Source organism: Homo sapiens, chromosome 12 (assembly GCF_000001405.40).
Source record: "Homo sapiens chromosome 12, GRCh38.p14 Primary Assembly".
Classification (NCBI taxonomy): Eukaryota; Metazoa; Chordata; class Mammalia; order Primates; family Hominidae; genus Homo; species Homo sapiens.
Window position 1 is genome coordinate 78,033,445 of NC_000012.12, and position 17,894 is coordinate 78,051,338.

A 17,894-nucleotide genomic window follows, 5' to 3' on the forward strand; every position below is an offset into this window, starting at 1 on the left:
ATTTGTCTCCTTTGCACTGCACCTTCCTCCTCTTCCTTGTATAACATACATCTATATGTGTGAATACAAACAAATATAAAAACATTCATATATGAATGTACCCCCAAAGCAAGCAGGATGGCGCTCTCCAGAGAAGGAATAAGTGGGTTCCCCACTGTCGCTCAGAGTAAATGTGGACTGATGTAGTTCTGGGACAAACCTACTGTAACCACAAGTTAATAACAATATCTTTGAACAAAGAGACAGAAACCCCCTTTTGATAAGCCTTCTCTACAATCCCCTCCTTGCTGGCTCCATTGGACTGAGCCCATCCTTTCCAGGGTTCACCCCTCCAGAAGGATTAAATTTCCTGTCTCATTGAATCAGGAAGAACCATGTGATTTAATCTGACAAATGAAATACAAGTGGAAAAATGACATGGGATGTTCCTGAGCAGAAACTTAAGAGCCATTGCTTGGATCTCTCACCTCTCTTTTCCTTTGGTCATAAAATCAACATGTCCCAGACTAGGATTGCTCTTGTAGCATGGTTGTTAGAATAAAGAATACCTGAGAGAGAGCTGTAACAAACAGAGTGGACATTAATGTCAGCAAAATACATCTTTGTATTGAATGCCACTGAAGTTTCTAAACCATTTGTAAATGCAATATAACAATCTAATTCAGGATTTCCCAACTTCGGCACTGTGGACGTTGTGAAATGCAGAATTCTTTTTTGCATGGGGGTGGTTTATCATTGTAGGATGTTTAGCAACATCACTGGCCACTTCCCCTTAGATGTCACCACCACACCCACAGTTGTGATAACGAAAAATGTTTCCAGATATTGCCAAATGTCCCTTGGGGGAAAAACCATCCCCAGTTGAAAACCACTAATCTCAGCATAGTAGTTCTCAAAGGGGGTTTTCAGAGCCAGCAGTATCTGGAAATATGTTAGAAATACAAAGTCCCAGGACCCTCCGAGTCCAACTGAATGAGCAGTTATGTGGCTGGGGCACAGCGAACTGTGTTTTGATAAGCCCTCCGAGTGGTTCTGAACATATGAAGCTTGAGAACCACAGGTTTAAACTGATTGGTATATGTATAAGCAGTCTTGAATAAGGAAAGGGCATAAATATTGCTTTTATTTACAGATGAATAAGGTCAACTCATTTGATATATAAAGCATTAGAATTGCATTTTTTGTGAATCTGTAAGGCTTTAGGGTATATTAGCATATATACTAGTGTAACAAATGTTAAATACATTGAAATTTCATAATTTGAACAAATTTCACTATGGTCTCAGGACTTGGAAATTCACTGTGTCACAATAACTCAAAATGAAAGAAAAAAGATTTTCTACTTAGGAATTCTAAGGGGAGTGTCATTTTGGTCTTCCAAAAAATACTTTACAAAATTGTGTTTTTAGGAGCATAACTGTCAGTTTCAATTATCTGATATTTGTACTGTAATTTTATTTAGCACATTTTATATAAACGAGTAGTATTTAAAAAGTATAGAATTGAGAATGAGTATCAATAATTCACAGATTTCTTTATTGCAGAATTTTGTCACAAATAATTGCTGTTCTTTCCAGCTAATTTCCTTTTCATATCTATAAAATGGGTCTAAGTCTGATCTACCTTGAAAGGTGGGGCATAAGGAATAATTAACTTTACAAAGTAAGTGGTTATTATGTGTAAAGTTATAGGCAATGCATATTATAATGCTAATATATATAGTTATGAGATTGGGTATTTCCTCTATTGAGATTGGCAATAGGAGGTAGAAAATCACAATTAATTTTGCCACATTAGCTCTGAAAATGATGAAGATAATATCTCTGCATATTTCTCCATTTTCCCTCATTTGATAAAGGAGAAATCCCTATTTTTCTGTTTGTGAGCAGAAAATCTTCAGAAGTTAAATACTGAAAGGTCGATAGTCTTCTTAACTGTCAATGGTACCCATGATTTCTGCTATACTATATATTTGTTTTTTAAAGTTGTCCTAAAATCAGAATTTTGTGGTGGTATAGTGTACGTACCAGTACAAGGTAAATACAAGAAAATTATCTTTAGGTTTTCTGTTTTTATGAAAACATTAAGAAATAAGAGCTGATTATGCTGTGATAGGCTTATGAAATAGACCTGGAAAAATGCAATATCAAAAGACACAATGTGCATTTTGTGTTATCTGTAACATTATTATGTTCCACACACTTGACCATAAACTTTCAATTTTAAGCTTTGAGTCAAAATATCAAGGGAAAACCCTTTTGAGTTATTTTTTTCTTTCTATTTCCTTTTTGTTTTTACAAAAAGGCTGTAAGAAATCTTTATCATCACATTAGGATTTTAGGATTCAAAATAAGAAGGCTTTGACTTTGTTCTTTAAAAGATTAGGGAAGTCTTTCCCTTTAAAGCATTATCTCCTAGCGGGTGGAGAGTGTCATGCTTCATTTTTTAGGTCCTTTACACTCTTGAATTTGATTTGTGCTTTTACAGCACAAATCCCAACATTCAGAAGGGAGATCTGCCTGCTTCAGCTGCCTGCAGCTACAGAGAATTAGTCTGTCATTCTCGGCATCGGGGAGTGTGTGTTGTGTATGTGAGGGTGTGAGTGTGTGTCCGTGTTTGAGATTGGGTGGCTGAGAGTCATTTAAATGTGCATAAGGTTAATAGTGGAAGATCTCGTACAGGCTTGGCTCAGAAACCTGTGGCATTCTACGCTGGACAGCCGTTCCCGTGCCTCTGTTTTAATTTGGCAGGATGTTTGCTGCCATGGCAGCCAGCAGCATCCACTGCAGCAGCAAGGAAGAGCCATAGATCTGAGAATGCAGGTGGAATACTAAAATGTAAGAGGCTTGTGCAGGGCTGGGCGTCAGTGCTTAATTCCTGCTCTTCCTGGGCTCCTATGAGCAGGCTGTACTTGCTGCACTGTGTCAGCTCGTTAGAGTAAAGGGTTACAGACCTAGGTCAGTTAAGGGCTGGTGAAAGGCAGGGGAAAGAAAAAAAAAAGCAAAAAGCAAGAGACCTCAGCTCGTGCTTCACCTCCTGGCGTTTCGGGACACAGAAGCAACAGAGGGAAATGTGGACCCATCCTCCTGCTGAGACATGTGATTGGATGAAGACGGGCAAACGTAGTTGGCTTCCTGGACTACTTTTCAGCTGGAGGAGAGTCTTTGGTGAACTCTTTTCTGCTTCAGATATATTCGAGCAAAATATTTGTAAGTACTGCTGATTAGTAAAGTGATGTGTCAAGCTAAATTGGGGGCAAATAATTATATATACTATATCTCTAGAATCTTCTGTGAATGTGTGAGCTTGAGCTTTTATTGAAGTGCATGTGATAATCAAAATCAAATGGATCAGTTACAATCACAGTGTAACAAGACAATATGAAGTCCAATTGAAAGGAAGGAGCCACTGGAAGAATCATGCAGCGGCCTGCTGAACTCTCTGTGTTCCGGAGCAAAGAAGTAAGGAGAAAGGGAGCTTGCCTTCAGAAACAAAAGTCTCTGACCAATCTTTCCCTCACCAGTGATGGGGAGAGGAGACCCACGGTGCGCATTTCCAACTGGTTTGGAAATGCTGCCAAGGCCAGCCAGAGAGAAGCCAACTATGCAGAGCGGCGCTCACTGTCCAAGTTTCTCTCGCGGTCTGTGCAGTCCCTGTATCACACCAGCAGCTCAGCCTGGAACCTCCTGCCTGCTGGGGGCAGCCAGTCAGACAGTGAAGACTTAGAGGAATTGTCTGCAAGAAGAGGCTTGGAAGGTGAGAGTGATGAAGATAGTAGGTCTGAAGATGAAAACGTGTCCTCCAAGCCAAGCAGCATCAGCAGAAGCTGGGCTGAAGAGGAGGGAGAAAGCTGTTTGCGGGAAGGGACAGCTCATCTGGATGAGGAGGTGATCCTTACCATGCTGGGTGATCTAGAACAGGCACTTTACACTGACTTATTAGGTAAGTCCAATTTGCTCCTAAAAACGTGTATGGGATCTTAAGAAATTTCATAGTCTCTTATGAAATTATTTGCATTTGCCAAATAGCTTTCATGTTTTTAGACTGATTTTTAAAAATACATAGTTACATTTTAAATTCCTGTTTCTTGAAGTGATTTTTTTTTTTAATTTTTTGGTAAAACTGAGCTATGAGCACCACTGGTAAGGTTCATTTGGAGAAAATAAATTCCGGAAATCTGCCATGGGCATTATTAGCCTCACCTAGTGTCCAGTACCTTCTAGACATCCATAAATAAGTTAACATTTTAAAACTCCAAACATGTTTTTCACCTACTCATTAAAGGGGCCTATTTGTTCAACTTCCCTCAAGGTGACCTCATCACAGATAAGGGATGAATAATGAAGGGCCTCCTGGGTAAATTTTCTGTAGAGTTAAGTTTCTTCTGCTGCCTCCGTGCTACCTGAATAGAAGGCTTCTTCTATACCTCAGTGACAAGCCCTTTTTATTGTAGTAACACTTTCAGAAATACAGGGGCCGCTGCTGGCTTCTACCTTTTTTCTTTTCTCTTTTGTTTCAGTGTTTGACAAAAACTAGTTCTGCATGTGCACATTATAAGTATTTAAGCTACTATGTAGATGACTATGAACTGTTTTCATACTTTAGAAACTAGGCCTTTTTGATAACATGAGTTTCAGTAGTAACTTCTGGCATAATCTTTAACTAAATAAGAAGAGGTCAAGTGATTCTATAGTTTGTGACTAAACTTTAAATGTCAACTGTGCCACCTACCTAAACAGCTAACATGTGAACATTTTAATTGTTATTTCTGAATTCAGTCTTGTATCAAAATATATTTACATCACACAGTCCCTTCTTCCATAAGTATTAAATTCCTGGCCATATCATATTTTATGTCAATGTGTATTTCCACAAAGGGCTTCATATTGGCCTCCTTAAGTTGAAAGGAATTAAACCTGGGAAGTGATCTCTTTGTTTCTGATTCAAGAAACTAATGCTAAATGCAGGCTTGCTTTTACTCTTAATGTAGACCCTCCTGTTACAAGATGTTTTATGAGGTTTTCTGGATTCTTTTAGTGAACCAGTTTTAGAAGAAGAAAGCTTATAGAGATAGCAGAGGCAAATATTGTTCAATTTTTCATGTCAGTTTGGTTTTAGAAGAGTAATCTTTCCACAGTTGTCAGAATAGTGATTTCTGAATCTGAATACACCAGGTGCTCCAACACTGAAGATTTACTTTTGCACCATTGTGTGATTTCTGTGATGAACTGCTTCTCATAAAGGGCTATGTGCAGCACAAAGGCGAGAGAAAGTCTTAATCTTTATGAAGCTTTTTCTTTTTTGGATCCTCTGAAACTGTAGAATCAGATAATATTCCTCTTTTGCTTTTGAAGTGGTATTATTTATCTTGTTCTCAGTATCTCTTAAGTATTTACAAAGATATGAACAGAGTGCAGTCCCCTGACAGCATTTGATGCTTACTCAGTTAAATTATAGCATGCTGTGGGTGGGTGTATATATGACATGTGCCTTTTTGTGCATAAATAACTTGAAGCATTTTGGTCAGAGGGTAACCTCTCAAAAGAAGCCGGTATGCCTTGGTTTTTCAAGAGCATCTGCTTATTGTATTTATATGATTATTCTGTTTAAGTATTTTTTTTCCTACTTATGCCAGTATTCAAAAATGCAAGTGAAAAAGTAAGGGGAAGTTTATTCAAATAGCTGTGATATGAATAATCATATCTCCAGATAATGAAGCATTCTGATGCAATTCCCTAAATAATGATCCATGTTAAGTTGTTGAATATATCTACGCCCACAGCACACAGGAATTCCAGAATTTCTACCACGTGCTTCAATAGGTTCTGTTTACGACTCAAAATGGCCTCTTCCAAGTTAGTTTTTAGGTGGGGTTCCTTGAGGTTAATTCTTTACTCTTAGATATCCTCCTAAATCAGACAGATTAAGGTTTGTCCTATAACCGTATAGGAGCACATTTTAAAAGTAACTATAAAGCTTTTGGCCATATTTTGCTATTTTTCTCCAAAGTGTCAAGATTAACCAGAGGAGTTTAAAAATTTTCATCCAAATCACTACTAGGGCCATCCACAAAACTAGAGTTACTTCACACAATAAATCAGGAAGCTGTACTCTACATAACATTTGTAATATGGATGGGGTAGAGGGCATAATTCTCTGAGAATAAGATTTATTCATACAGATTTGATTTCCTATTGAAAGATGGCAATGCTGGCAGTGTTAATTACAATGTGTATAATTAAAGCCTAAAAATTAAGAGCAAGATCACAGATTAAATGGTCTGTCTGCCACCAAATAGTAACGTAGGAGTACCAAATTGATGCTGTTATTTTTTTTTTCTCTACTAAGAACACCTTATGAGCAGTGAGAAAGCACTTTGCACCAATGTTAAAAACTCTAGTAGATTTCAGAATATACCATTCTGGAAGATGTGTGGAAGCCATTCCATTGTGTTTGACACATAGGAAGCCTCTTTCAGGAATAATGGTTGACTTTGAGATTATGCAAGCAGGAGGAGACACAACATTGCTGTGATTAAATGCATTTCTCACGTGCATTTTTCTGGTAACTTGTATTGTTGCTAAACATTTAATTTTATTTTTGCTTTTATATTTAGACTTTGCAATTGTGTTTTTCCCCCAAAGCCTCTGGACCTCACTCAGATACAAATTTATAGGATATTTAAGACCATGCAATCAGTCCTTAGGGGGTTTGTAAGTACATTTAGTTTTATCTTGCCTTTTGTGGGTCATTGAAAACATTTACTGCAATAAATTTTCTTTGGTTATTATCTTTCATGACATGAATAAGGCAGCAGTTATGTTTTGCTCAATAAGCGTTGGAAAGAAAAGGTCCATTTGTCTGTCATGAGGAGGGCAGTGTCATAAGTGAATGTCATGATGAAAAAAACCTAAGGAATGAGGGAGGCTTTGGTTCTAAAACATGAGAGAAACCAGATAAACAATGAATTCAGTTAGAAGAATCCAAGGATCTAAGATACCTGTTGGATTGGAAAAAAGAAATTGAAAAGGAAATGAAGTAGATGTGAAAATATATTTAGTGAAACAGCATGTCTGAAAATACAACGTTCTTAAAATTAATATGAAAAGATGGAACATAATTGAGATATTAATTTTAATATTCCAGTTGGCAAATGATTGAGATGCAGCTGGATTACAACTTAAAAGTTTTCCTGGGGGAAGGGGGAAAGGGATAGGAACATGTAATGATGCGTTCTAGGAATCTGTGTGAGGTCAATTACTTGTACCTCCCCCACCAAGTAAAAAAAAGGACATCTCAATATACTCCTTCTTTCATGACTTTTTATCTTTCACCTACAATCTAAGATGCCAATAACTGTATGAAATCTTTCATATTGAATCTTAGGTTTAGTGCTTCTCCAATTTTGTCCCCTTCACTACTTATTTTGACCCAGTTTGAATAAATTTCTTCTTTGTATGTCTCTTCCTTGTCTGTAATAATTTTATTTCCAGTCTGTAAGATTTTCTCTACAAAACTTCTTTTTCTTCATAGTTCTCTCAGATTATTTGGAAGTGAAAGATAGAATTCTTTATAGCCATCTCTGAAATACTCTATATTATATGTATGAGGAGAAGTATGGGAAGAATTTCCAGGAAGAATGTGATCAGTCTCAAGGGTTATTAACAGTTCTGAGTTCTAAAAGAATAATGTTAATCTATAGGATTAGTGATTGTGTGAACTTAGTGTAGAGAAAGTTTGTCATGTGCATGAGATCCCAACAAGTGTTTTATTATTCTTTAAAAATATTTACTTCAGGAAAGTTTCTTAGTACGTTATGTTTGAAATAATGATCTTATTATTAAGTATACTTTAATTGTTCAAATGATTTGTAAATTCAAGGGAAGAAATTTACAGGCTGGCAGCACAATGGTGGCTGTTTCGTCAACCACCCAAAGTGAGGAATAATGAACAAAGTAGTAATGTTTGCCTGAAAAATATAGTAAAGGAATTAGCCGTTGTGTTGCAATATTTGAGTGACTGCCTTGGTAAAGACAGTGTAAATTTGTTCATTTGGTTTCAGATCCACTGGAACCACAGGGTGAAAGTTTAAGGGAGACAAATTTTTGCTTATCCCCCATAAATATTTTACATTTTGACCTGCTACTGGAAGGAGCCATCTCTTACTGGTGAGGTGGAGGCCTTTCCAATGTTGGAGTTTTCAGGCAGAGGCAGATGGCCTTGTCCCATGTGAGACAGATGAATGCTATGGCCAAGAGATAAGGCAAGACAATCTCTGAAATCCACCAACTGTATGATTGTGATGATAGGTGTTAAAGGGGCACATTTGTTATAGATTTTTAAAAATCTGGCCTGAGTATTAAGGAAGTAAATTAACAGATTAAATAGTTAGCTATATTCCTAAAACAGATTATAGATACGCATCTTGACTTCCCTATGTGACAATTTTCATAGTGTAATTTAATACATGCTATTTTTTGCTTTTCTTTTTGTTCCCTTTCTTTTTCTTCCATCCTGTTTCCATTCCATTCCCTTCCCAGCCGTCCCATCTACTTCCTTTTTCTCTGTCTCCTCTCCTTCCCTGTCCCTCTCTTAATCTATCCATTCCAATTCCCTCCTCCTTTCTGTTTTCACTTTTATTGAAAGTGCCCATCATTAGACATCCTCTTCAGTCCAGATTGAACAGAATAAAAACTGTGCTTCCACTACTCTCTTTTCATGTTCTTTCTATTATCTAGACTCACTGGCTTTAGAAGGTCACTAGCTTGGGGAAGTATTGTATGACTATCAACAAAATGGCTTAAGGACACTTCTGCCCCCAGTTGATAGGTGGTGATTGTATCAGGCCAGCGTTAGTCATACTTGCAGAGCTATTTGTTTCATGCTCATTAGATACAAACATTTTGGGTTTAGATGCCTAGGAATTTACTTGAACTCTAGTATCATTGGTAGAACTGTAGAAACTGGAGAAGTAATTAAAAATAAAACCATTCAATGTTTGTCAGTCTTTGTCCATGAGTCTAATAAAAGACTTCAAAAGCTATTGCTTCCATAAGAAAAGACCTCAGCCGGGCATGGTGGCTCACGCCTGAAATCCCAGCACTTTGGGAGGCCAAGGCAGGTGGATCATTTGAGGTCAGGAGTTCAAGAGCATTATGACCAACATGGTGAAACCCCATCTCTACTAAATACAAAAATTAGCCGGGCATGGTGGCGAGGGCCTGATATCAGCTACTTGAGAGGCCGAAGCAGGGGAATCGCTTGAATTCCAGAGGTGGAGTTTGCAGTGATCCAAGATGGTGCCATTGAACTCCAGCCTGAGCAAAAGAGTGAGACTCTGTCTAAAAATGAAAATGAAATAAAAAAATAAAAGGCCTCTAGTTTATTCCCCAGATTCCAAATGTGTCCTTTCTACATAAGGCAAATTTACCTCAAGTATTCTGAGTACACCCAGAACACCTTGAAATAATTAGGATCCTAATGATCATAGTTTTTTTTTTTATTTTACTTTAAGTTCTGGGATACATGTGCAGAATGTGCAGGTTTGTTACATAGATGTATACATGCTGTGGTCGTTTGCTGCACCCATCAACCCGTCATCTACATTAGGTATTTCCCCTAATGCTATCCCTCCCCTTGATCCCCCCACCCACCAACAGGCCCCGGTGTGTGATGTTCCCCTTCCTGTGTCCATGTGTTCTCATTGTTCAACTCCCACTTGTGAGTGAGAACATGTGGTGTTCAGTTTTCTGTTCCTGTGTTAGTTTGCAGAGAATGGTTTCTAGTTTCATCCATGTCCCTGCAAAGGACATGAACTCATCCATTTTTATGGTTGCATAGTATTCCATGGTGTATATGTGCCACATTTTCTTTATGCAGTCTATCATTGATGGGCATTTGGGTTGGTTCCAAGTCTTTGCTATTGTGAACAGTGCTGCAATAAACATACGTGTGCATGTGTCTTTATAATAGAATGATTTATAATCCTTTGGTTGTATACTCATTAATGGGATTGCTGGATCAAATGGTATTTCTGGTTCTAGATCCTTGAGGAATTGCCACACTGTCTTCCACAGTGGTTGAACTAATATATACTCCCACCGACAGTGTAAAGGCGTTCCTATTTCTCCACAACCTCTCTAGCATCTGTTGTTTCTTGACTTTTTAATGATCGCCATTCTAACCGGCGTGAGATGGTATCTCATTGTGGTTTTGATTTGCATTTCTCTAATGACCAGTGGATGATGAGCTTTCTTTCATATGTTTGTTGGCTGCATAAAATGTCTTCTTTTGAGAGGTGTCTGTTCATATACTTCACCCACTTTTTGATGGGGTTGTTTTTTTCTTGTAAATTTGTTTAAGTTCCTTGTAGATTCTGAATATTAGCCCTTTGTCAGATGGATAGATTGCAAAAATTGTCTCCCATTCTGTAGGTTGCCTGTTCACTCTGATGATAGTTTCTTTTGCTGTGCAGAATTTCCTTAGTTTAATTAGATCCCATTTGTCAACTTTGGCTTTTGTTGCCATTGCTTTTGGTGTTTTACTCATGAAGTCTTTGCCCATGCCTATGTCCTGAATGGTATTGCCTAGGTTTTCTTCTAGGGTTTTTATGGTTTTAGGTCTTTGGTTTAAGTCTTTAATCCATCTTGAGTTAATTTTTGTGTAAAGTGTAAGGAAGGGATCCAGTTTCAGTTATATGCATGTGGCTAGCCAGTTTTCCCAGCACCATTTGTTAAATAGGGAATCCTTTCCCCATTGCTTGTGTGTGTCAGGTTTGTCAAAGATCAGATGATTGTAGATGTGTGGTGTTATTTCTGAGGGCTCTGTTCTGTTTCATTGGTCTATATATCTGTTTTGGTACCAGTACCATGCTGTTTTGATTACTATGGCCCTGGAGTATACTTTGAAGTCAGGTAGCATGATGCTTCCAGCTTTGTTCTTTTTCTTTAGGATTATCTTGGCTATACGGGCTCTTTTTTGGTTCCATATGAAATTTAAAGTAGTTTTTTCTAACTCTATGAATAAAGTCAATGGTAGCTTTATGGGGATAGCATTGAATCTCTAAATTACTTTGGGCAGTATGACCATTTTCATGATATTGATTCTTCCTATCCATGAGCATGGAATGTTTTTTCGTTTGTTTGTGTCCTCTCTTATTTCCTGGAGCAGTGGTTTGTAGTTCTTTTTGAAGAGGTCCTTCACATACCTTTAAGTTGTATTCCTAAGTATTTTATTCTCTTTGTAGCAATTGTGAATGGGAGTTTATTCATGATTTGGCTCTCTGTTTGTCTGTTATTGGTGTATAGGAATGCTTGTGATTTTCGCATGTTGATTTTGTATCCTGAGACGTTGCTAAATTCGCTTATCAGCTTAAGGAGTTTTTGGCTGAGAAGATGGGGTTTTCTAAATATAAAATCATGTCATCTGCAAACAGAGACAATTTGACTTCCTCTCTTCCTATCTAAATGCACTTTATTTCTTTCTCTTGCCTGATTACCCTTGCCAAAACTTCCAATACTATGTTGAATAGGAGTGGTGATGGAGGGCACCCTTGTGTTGTGCAGGTTTTCAAAGGGAATGCTTCCAGCTTTTGCCCATTCAGTATGATATTGGCTGTGTGTCTGTCATAAATAGCCCTTATGATTTTGAGATACATTCCATAAATATCTAGTAATTGAGAGTTCTTAGCATGAAGGGGTGTTGAATTTTATCGAAGGCCTTTTCTGCATCTATTGAGATAATCATGTGGTTTTTGCAATTGGTTCTCTTTATGTGATGGATTACATTTATTGATTTGCATATGTTGAACCAGCCTTGTATCCCAGCAATGAACCCAACTTGATCGTGGTGGATAAGCTTTTTTTTTGTTGAGGCAGAGTCTTGCTCCATCACACCGGCTGGAGTGCAATGGCACAATCTCAGCTCACTGCAACCTCCGCCTCCTAAGTACAAGCGATTCTCCTGCCTCAGCCTCCCGAGTAGCTGGGGCTGCAGGTGTGTGCCACCATACCCGGCTAATTTTGTATTTTTAGTAGAGATGGGGTTTCACCATGTTGGCCAGGATTGTCTCAAACTCCTGACCTCGTGATCTGCCCACCTCAGCCTCCCAAAGTGCTGGGATTACAGGCATGAGCCACTGCACCTGGCCAGTGGATAAGCTTTTTGATGTGCTGCTGGATTCAGTTTGCCAGTATGTGATTGTGGATTTTTACATCGATGTTCATCAGGGGTATTGGCCTGGAATTTTCTTTTTCTGTTGTGTCTTTGCCACGTTTTGGTATCAGGATGATGCTGGCCTCATAAAATGAGTTAGGGAGGTGTCCCTCTTTTTCTATTGATTGGAATAGTCTCAGAAGGAATGGTACCAGCTCCTCTTCGTAGTTCTGTTAGAATTCGACTGTGAATCTGTCTGGTCCTGGGCATTTTTTTGGTTGGTAGGCTATTAATTACTGCCTCAATTTCAGAACTTGTTATTGGTCTATTCAGGGATTCGACTTCTTCCTGGTTTAGTCTTGGGAGGGTGTATGTGTCCAGGAATTTATCCATTTCTTCTAGATTTTCTAGTTTATTTGCATAGTAGTGTTTATAGTATTTTTTGACGATAGTTTGTATTTCTGTGGGATCAGTGGTGATATCCCCTTTATCATTTTTTATTACATCTATTTGATTCTTCTCTATTTTCTTCTTTATTAGTCTGGCTAGCAGTCTATCTATTTTGTTAATCTTTTCAAAAACCAGCTATGGATTTATTGATTTTTTGAAGGGTTTTTGTGTCTCTATCTCCTTCAGTTCTGCTCTGATCTTAGTTATTTCTTGCCTTCTGCTAGCTTTTGAATTTGTTTGCTCTTGCTTCTCTAGTTCTTTTAATTGTGATGTTAAGGTGTTGATCTTTAGATATTTCCTGCTTTCTTCTGTGGGCATTTAGTGCTATGAATTTCCCTCTAAACACAGCTTTAGCTGTGTCCCAGACATTCTGGTATGTAGTTTCTTTATTCTCATTGGTTTCAAATAACTTATTGATTTCTGCCTTAATTTCCTTATTTACCCCGTGGTCATTCAGGAGCAGGTTGTTCAGTTTCTATGTAGTTGTGAAGTTTTAAGTCAGTTTCTTAACCCTAAGTTCTAATTTGATTGCACTCTGGTCTGAGAGACTATTTGTTAGGATTTCCATTCTTTTGCATTTGCTGAGGAGTGTTTTACTTCCAATTATGTGATCAGTTTTAGAATAAGTGTGATGTGGTTCTGAGAAGAATGTATATTCTGTTTATTTGGGGTGGAGAGTTCTGTAGATGTCTATTAGGTCCACTTGGTCCAGAGTTGAGTTCAAGTCCTGAATATCTTTGTTAATTTTCTGTCTCATTGATCTGTCTCATACTGACAGTGGGGTGTTAAAGTCTCCCACTATTATTGTGTGGGAGTCCAAGTCTCTTTGTAGGTCTCTAAGAACTTGCTTTATGAATCTGGGTGCTTCTGTTTTGGGTGCATATATATTTAGGATAGTTAGCTTTTCTTGTTGCATTGATCCCCTTACCATTATGCAATGTCCTTCTTTGTCTTTTTTTATATTTGCTGGTTTAAAGTCTGTTTTATCAGAGTCTAGAATTGTAACCCCTGCTTTTATTTGCTTTCCATTTGCTTGGTAAATATTCCTCCATCCCTTTATTTTGAGCCTATGTGAGTCTTTGCACGTGAAGCTTATGAAGCTTAGTTTGGCTGGATATGAAATTCTGGGTTGAAAATCCTCTGCTTTAAGAATGTTGAGGCCAGGTGCGGTGGCTCACGCTTGTAATCCCAGCACTTTGAGAGGCCGAGGCAGGCGGATCATGAGGTCAGGAGATCGAGACCATCCTGGCTAACACGGTGAAACCCCATCTCTACTAAAAATACAAAAAATTAGCCAGGCCTGGCAACGGGTGCCTGTAGTCCCAGCTACTCAGGAGGCTGAGGCAGGAGAATGGTGTGAACCCGGGAGGCGGAGCTTGCAGTGAGCCAAGATTGTGCCACTGCACTCCAGCCTGGGTGACAGAGCAAGACTCTGTCTCAAGCAAAACAAAACAAAACAAAACAAAAAAATGAACGTTGAATATTGGCCCTCACTCCCTCTGGCTTTTAGGGTTTCTGCAGAGAGATCCACTGTTAGTCTGATGGGCTTCCCTTTGTGGGTAATCAGCCTTTCTCTCTGGCTGCCCTTAACATTTTTTCCTGCATTTCAACTTTGGTGAATCTGACAATTACGTGTCTTGGGGTTGCTCTTCTCAAAGAGTATCTTTGTGGTGGTCCCTGTATTTCCTGAATTTGAATGTTGGCCTGTCTTGCTAGGCTGGGCAAGTTCTCCTGGATAATATCCTGAAGAGTGTTTTCCAACTTGGTTCCATTCTTTCTGTCACTTTCAGGTATACCAGTCAAACCTAGGTTTGGTCTTTTCACATAGTCCCATATTTCTTGGAGGCTTTGTTTGTTCCTTTTCATTCTTTTTTCTCTAATCTTGTCTTTATGCTTTATTTCAGTAAGTTCATCTTCAATCTCGGATATCCTTCCTTCCCCTCTATCTATTTGGCTATTTCTACTTATGTATGCTTCACGAAGAATTTCGTGCTATGTTTTTCAGCTCCATCAGGTCATTTGTGTTCTTCTCCACTAAACTGGTTATTCTAGTTAATAATTCCTCTAACCTTTTTTCAAGGTTCTTAGCTTCCTTTCATTGGGTTAGAACGTTCTCCTTTAGCTTGGAGGAGTTTGTTATTACCCACCTTCTAAAGTCTACTTCTGTAAATTCGTCAAACTCATACTCTGTCCAGTTCTGTTCCCTTGCTGGTGAAGAGTTGTGATCCTTTGGAGGAGAAGAGGCATTCTGGTTTTTGGAATTTTCAGCCTTTTTGCACTGTTTTTTTTCTCATCTTTGTGGACTTACCTACCTTTGGTCTCTGATGTTTGTGACCTTCAAACGGGGTTTTTGTGTGGATGTCTTTTTTGTGGACATTGATGCTATTCCTTTTTGTTTGTTAGTTTTCCTTTTAACAGTCAGGCCCCTCTGCTGCAGGTCTTCTGGAGTTTGCTGGAGGTTCACTCCAGATCCTATTTGCCTGGGTGTCACCAGCAAAGGCTGCAGAACAGCAAAGATTGCTGCCTCTTCCTTCCTCTGGAAGCTTCATCCCAGAGGGGCACTTGCCAGATGCCTGCTAGAGCTCTCCTGTATGAGGAGTCTATCAACACCTGCTGGGAGGTGTCTCCTCGTCAGGAGGCACGGGGGTCAGGGACCCACTTGAGGAGGCTGTCTGTCCCTTAGCGGAGCTAGAACACTGTGCTCGGAGATCCGCTGCTCTCTTCAGAGCTGGCAGGCAAGAGTGTTTTAGTCTGCTGAGCCTGCGCCCACAGCCGCCCCTTCCCCCAGGTGCTCTGTCCCAGGGAGATGAGAGTTTTATCTGTAAGCCCCTGACTGGGGCTGCTACCTTTCTTTCAGATATGCCCCGCCCAGAGAGGAGGAATCTAGAGAGGCAGTCTGGCTACAGCAGCTTTGCCAAGCTGCAGTGGGCTCTGCCCAGTCCAAAATTCCCAGCGGGTTTGTTTACATTGTGAGGGGAAAAGCACCTACTCAAGCCTCAGTTATGGCAGTTGCCCCTCCCCCCACCAAGCTCCAGGGTCCCAGGTGTCCTTCAGACTGCTGTGCTGGCAATGAGAATTTCAAGCCAGTGGATCTTAGCTTGCTGGGCTCCACAGGGGTGGGATCCACTGAGCTAGACCACTTAGCTCCCTGGCTTCAGCCCCCTTTCCAGGTGAGTGGATGGTTCTGTCTCACTGGCATTCCAGGTGCTACTGGGGTATGAAAAAAAAAACTCCTGCAGCTAGCTTGGTGTCTGCCCAGTTTTGTGCTTGAAACTCAGGCCCTTGGTGGTGTGGACACCCAATGGAATCTCCTGGTGTGCATGTTGTGAAGACTGTGGGAAAAGCATAGTATCTGGGCTGGATAGCTCCGTCCTTCAAGGCACAGTCCCTCATGACTTCCCTTGGCTAGGGGAGGGAGTTCCCCAACCCTTTGCACTTCCCAGGTGAGGCAACACCCCACCCTGCTTCTGCTCACCCTCTGTGGGCTGCACCCACTGTCTAATCAGTCACTGTGAGATGAGCCTGGTACCTCAGTTGGAAATGCAGAAATCACCTGCCTTCTGTGTTGATCTCACTGGGAGCAGCAGACTGGAGCTGTTCCTATTCAGCCATCTTTCTCAGGTCATAATCATAGATTTTTAATTGATCCCAGCAACATGGATTAGTAAACAGCATATTTCCAAGTGATTTTTTTTTATTTTAAGGTCAAATCTACAAAATATTATAGTGTTATCACCACTTAAAATTATTACTGGTGATACTATGTTTGTCTCTATTCACATTTTATTGCTAGAAAGAATTATAATTTGTAGATAATAATAGTTATTTGAAATGTATTACATATCCTTTTACTTTTAAGAAGAGGTGACTTAATTATCTAGGTATACAATTATTTTGAGGATACTAAATGTCATGAATAGCAAATTTATCATATTGCTTTCCTAGGTGAAGACCCTGAAACAAGAAGAATGAGAACAGTTAAAAACATAGCAGACTTGAGGCAGAATTTAGAAGAGACTATGTCCAGTCTTCGTGGGACTCAGATAAGCCACAGGTTTTTTTCAATTTTGCATATATTTGAGCCAATAAAGAAAAAATAATTACAAACAAACATTTAACTTTTCTTATAATGACAGAGATGGGATTTCAGTTTCCCCTTACTATTTTCTCCCTTGTTTTATATCAAATTGATTGGTAATTATCCTTAAACTGAGAATTCACAGTATATACCTATTTATCTTTTATCTCTATCTCTATCTGCTATTTATGTCTTTTTCAGTATAATTTCCAGTACTGCAACTACCACCATCACTGTTAAGTGGATTTGTAATACCTGTCCTAGAAAACAGTGGCACAAGTTGCACTTGAAATGCATCTGGGCAGGGTAGTAGGGAGACATTCAAACATAATTGTAGTTAACTTTCAGAATAGGTCTGGGAAGGTTACAGTGAGTTAAGGATTTGTTGAAAATGTAAAACAATATGTTGTTTTACCCAAGGTGTACTGATGGCCTTTCTTTTGAAAACAAACGAAAAGCTATAAAATGTATGCCCCTTTCCACAATTTGACCTCAAAATGAATATAGAGTTTAGCTTTCGGGAAGATGACGTGTTTATAAGAGATGACCCTCAACTCCAGCCTTTTCTGTCTTCATGCATTCTAGATTATGGCCCTAAGTGAACCAGAGTATAGTTATTTCTCCATTTTATTTGACAGCACCCTGGAGACAACATTTGACAGCACTGTGACAACAGAAGTTAATGGAAGGACCATACCCAACTTGACAAGTCGACCCACCCCCATGACCTGGAGGTTGGGCCAGGCATGTCCGCGACTTCAGGCGGGAGATGCTCCCTCCCTGGGTGCTGGCTATCCTCGCAGTGGTACCAGTCGATTCATCCACACAGACCCCTCGAGGTTCATGTATACCACGCCTCTCCGTCGAGCTGCTGTCTCTAGGCTGGGAAACATGTCACAGATTGACATGAGTGAGAAAGCAAGCAGTGACCTGGACATGTCTTCTGAGGTCGATGTGGGTGGATATATGAGTGATGGTGATATCCTTGGGAAAAGTCTCAGGACTGATGACATCAACAGTGGGTAAGTAACCCTGTTCTCCGTCAGCATTGTGTGAAGAGGGGAGGTGGTCTACTATAATGCATTCACTATAAACAAATGTGTAAGTTTGCCCAGAAAGTCATGAGAACATATGAGATATCTGAGGTTATTCAGAGTGTTGAAGGGCCCTTCCTCTGCTCATTCATGGAGAGTAAAGAATCCAAGATTTCTAT

General features: G+C 39.4%; 1 protein-coding gene across 31 annotated transcripts in view; it reads left to right on the forward strand.

Moving 5' to 3' along the window:
• Nucleotides 1-17,894, forward strand: part of NAV3 (neuron navigator 3) — a 641,149-nt gene that overhangs the window by 461,583 nt on the left and 161,672 nt on the right. For 27 of the 31 annotated variants that reach the window (XM_017020166.3, XM_047429817.1, XM_047429823.1 and 24 more), the window contains 2 exons: nucleotides 16,549-16,657; nucleotides 17,320-17,703. In XM_017020166.3, coding sequence (XP_016875655.1) covers nucleotides 16,549-16,657; nucleotides 17,320-17,703 — 493 coding nt within the window. Of the gene's footprint in view, nucleotides 1-2,517; nucleotides 3,943-16,548; nucleotides 16,658-17,319; nucleotides 17,704-17,894 lie in introns of those variants that run through there. The other 4 variants (XM_017020171.2, XM_017020173.3, XM_017020175.2 and 1 more) reach the window with 2 other exon arrangements.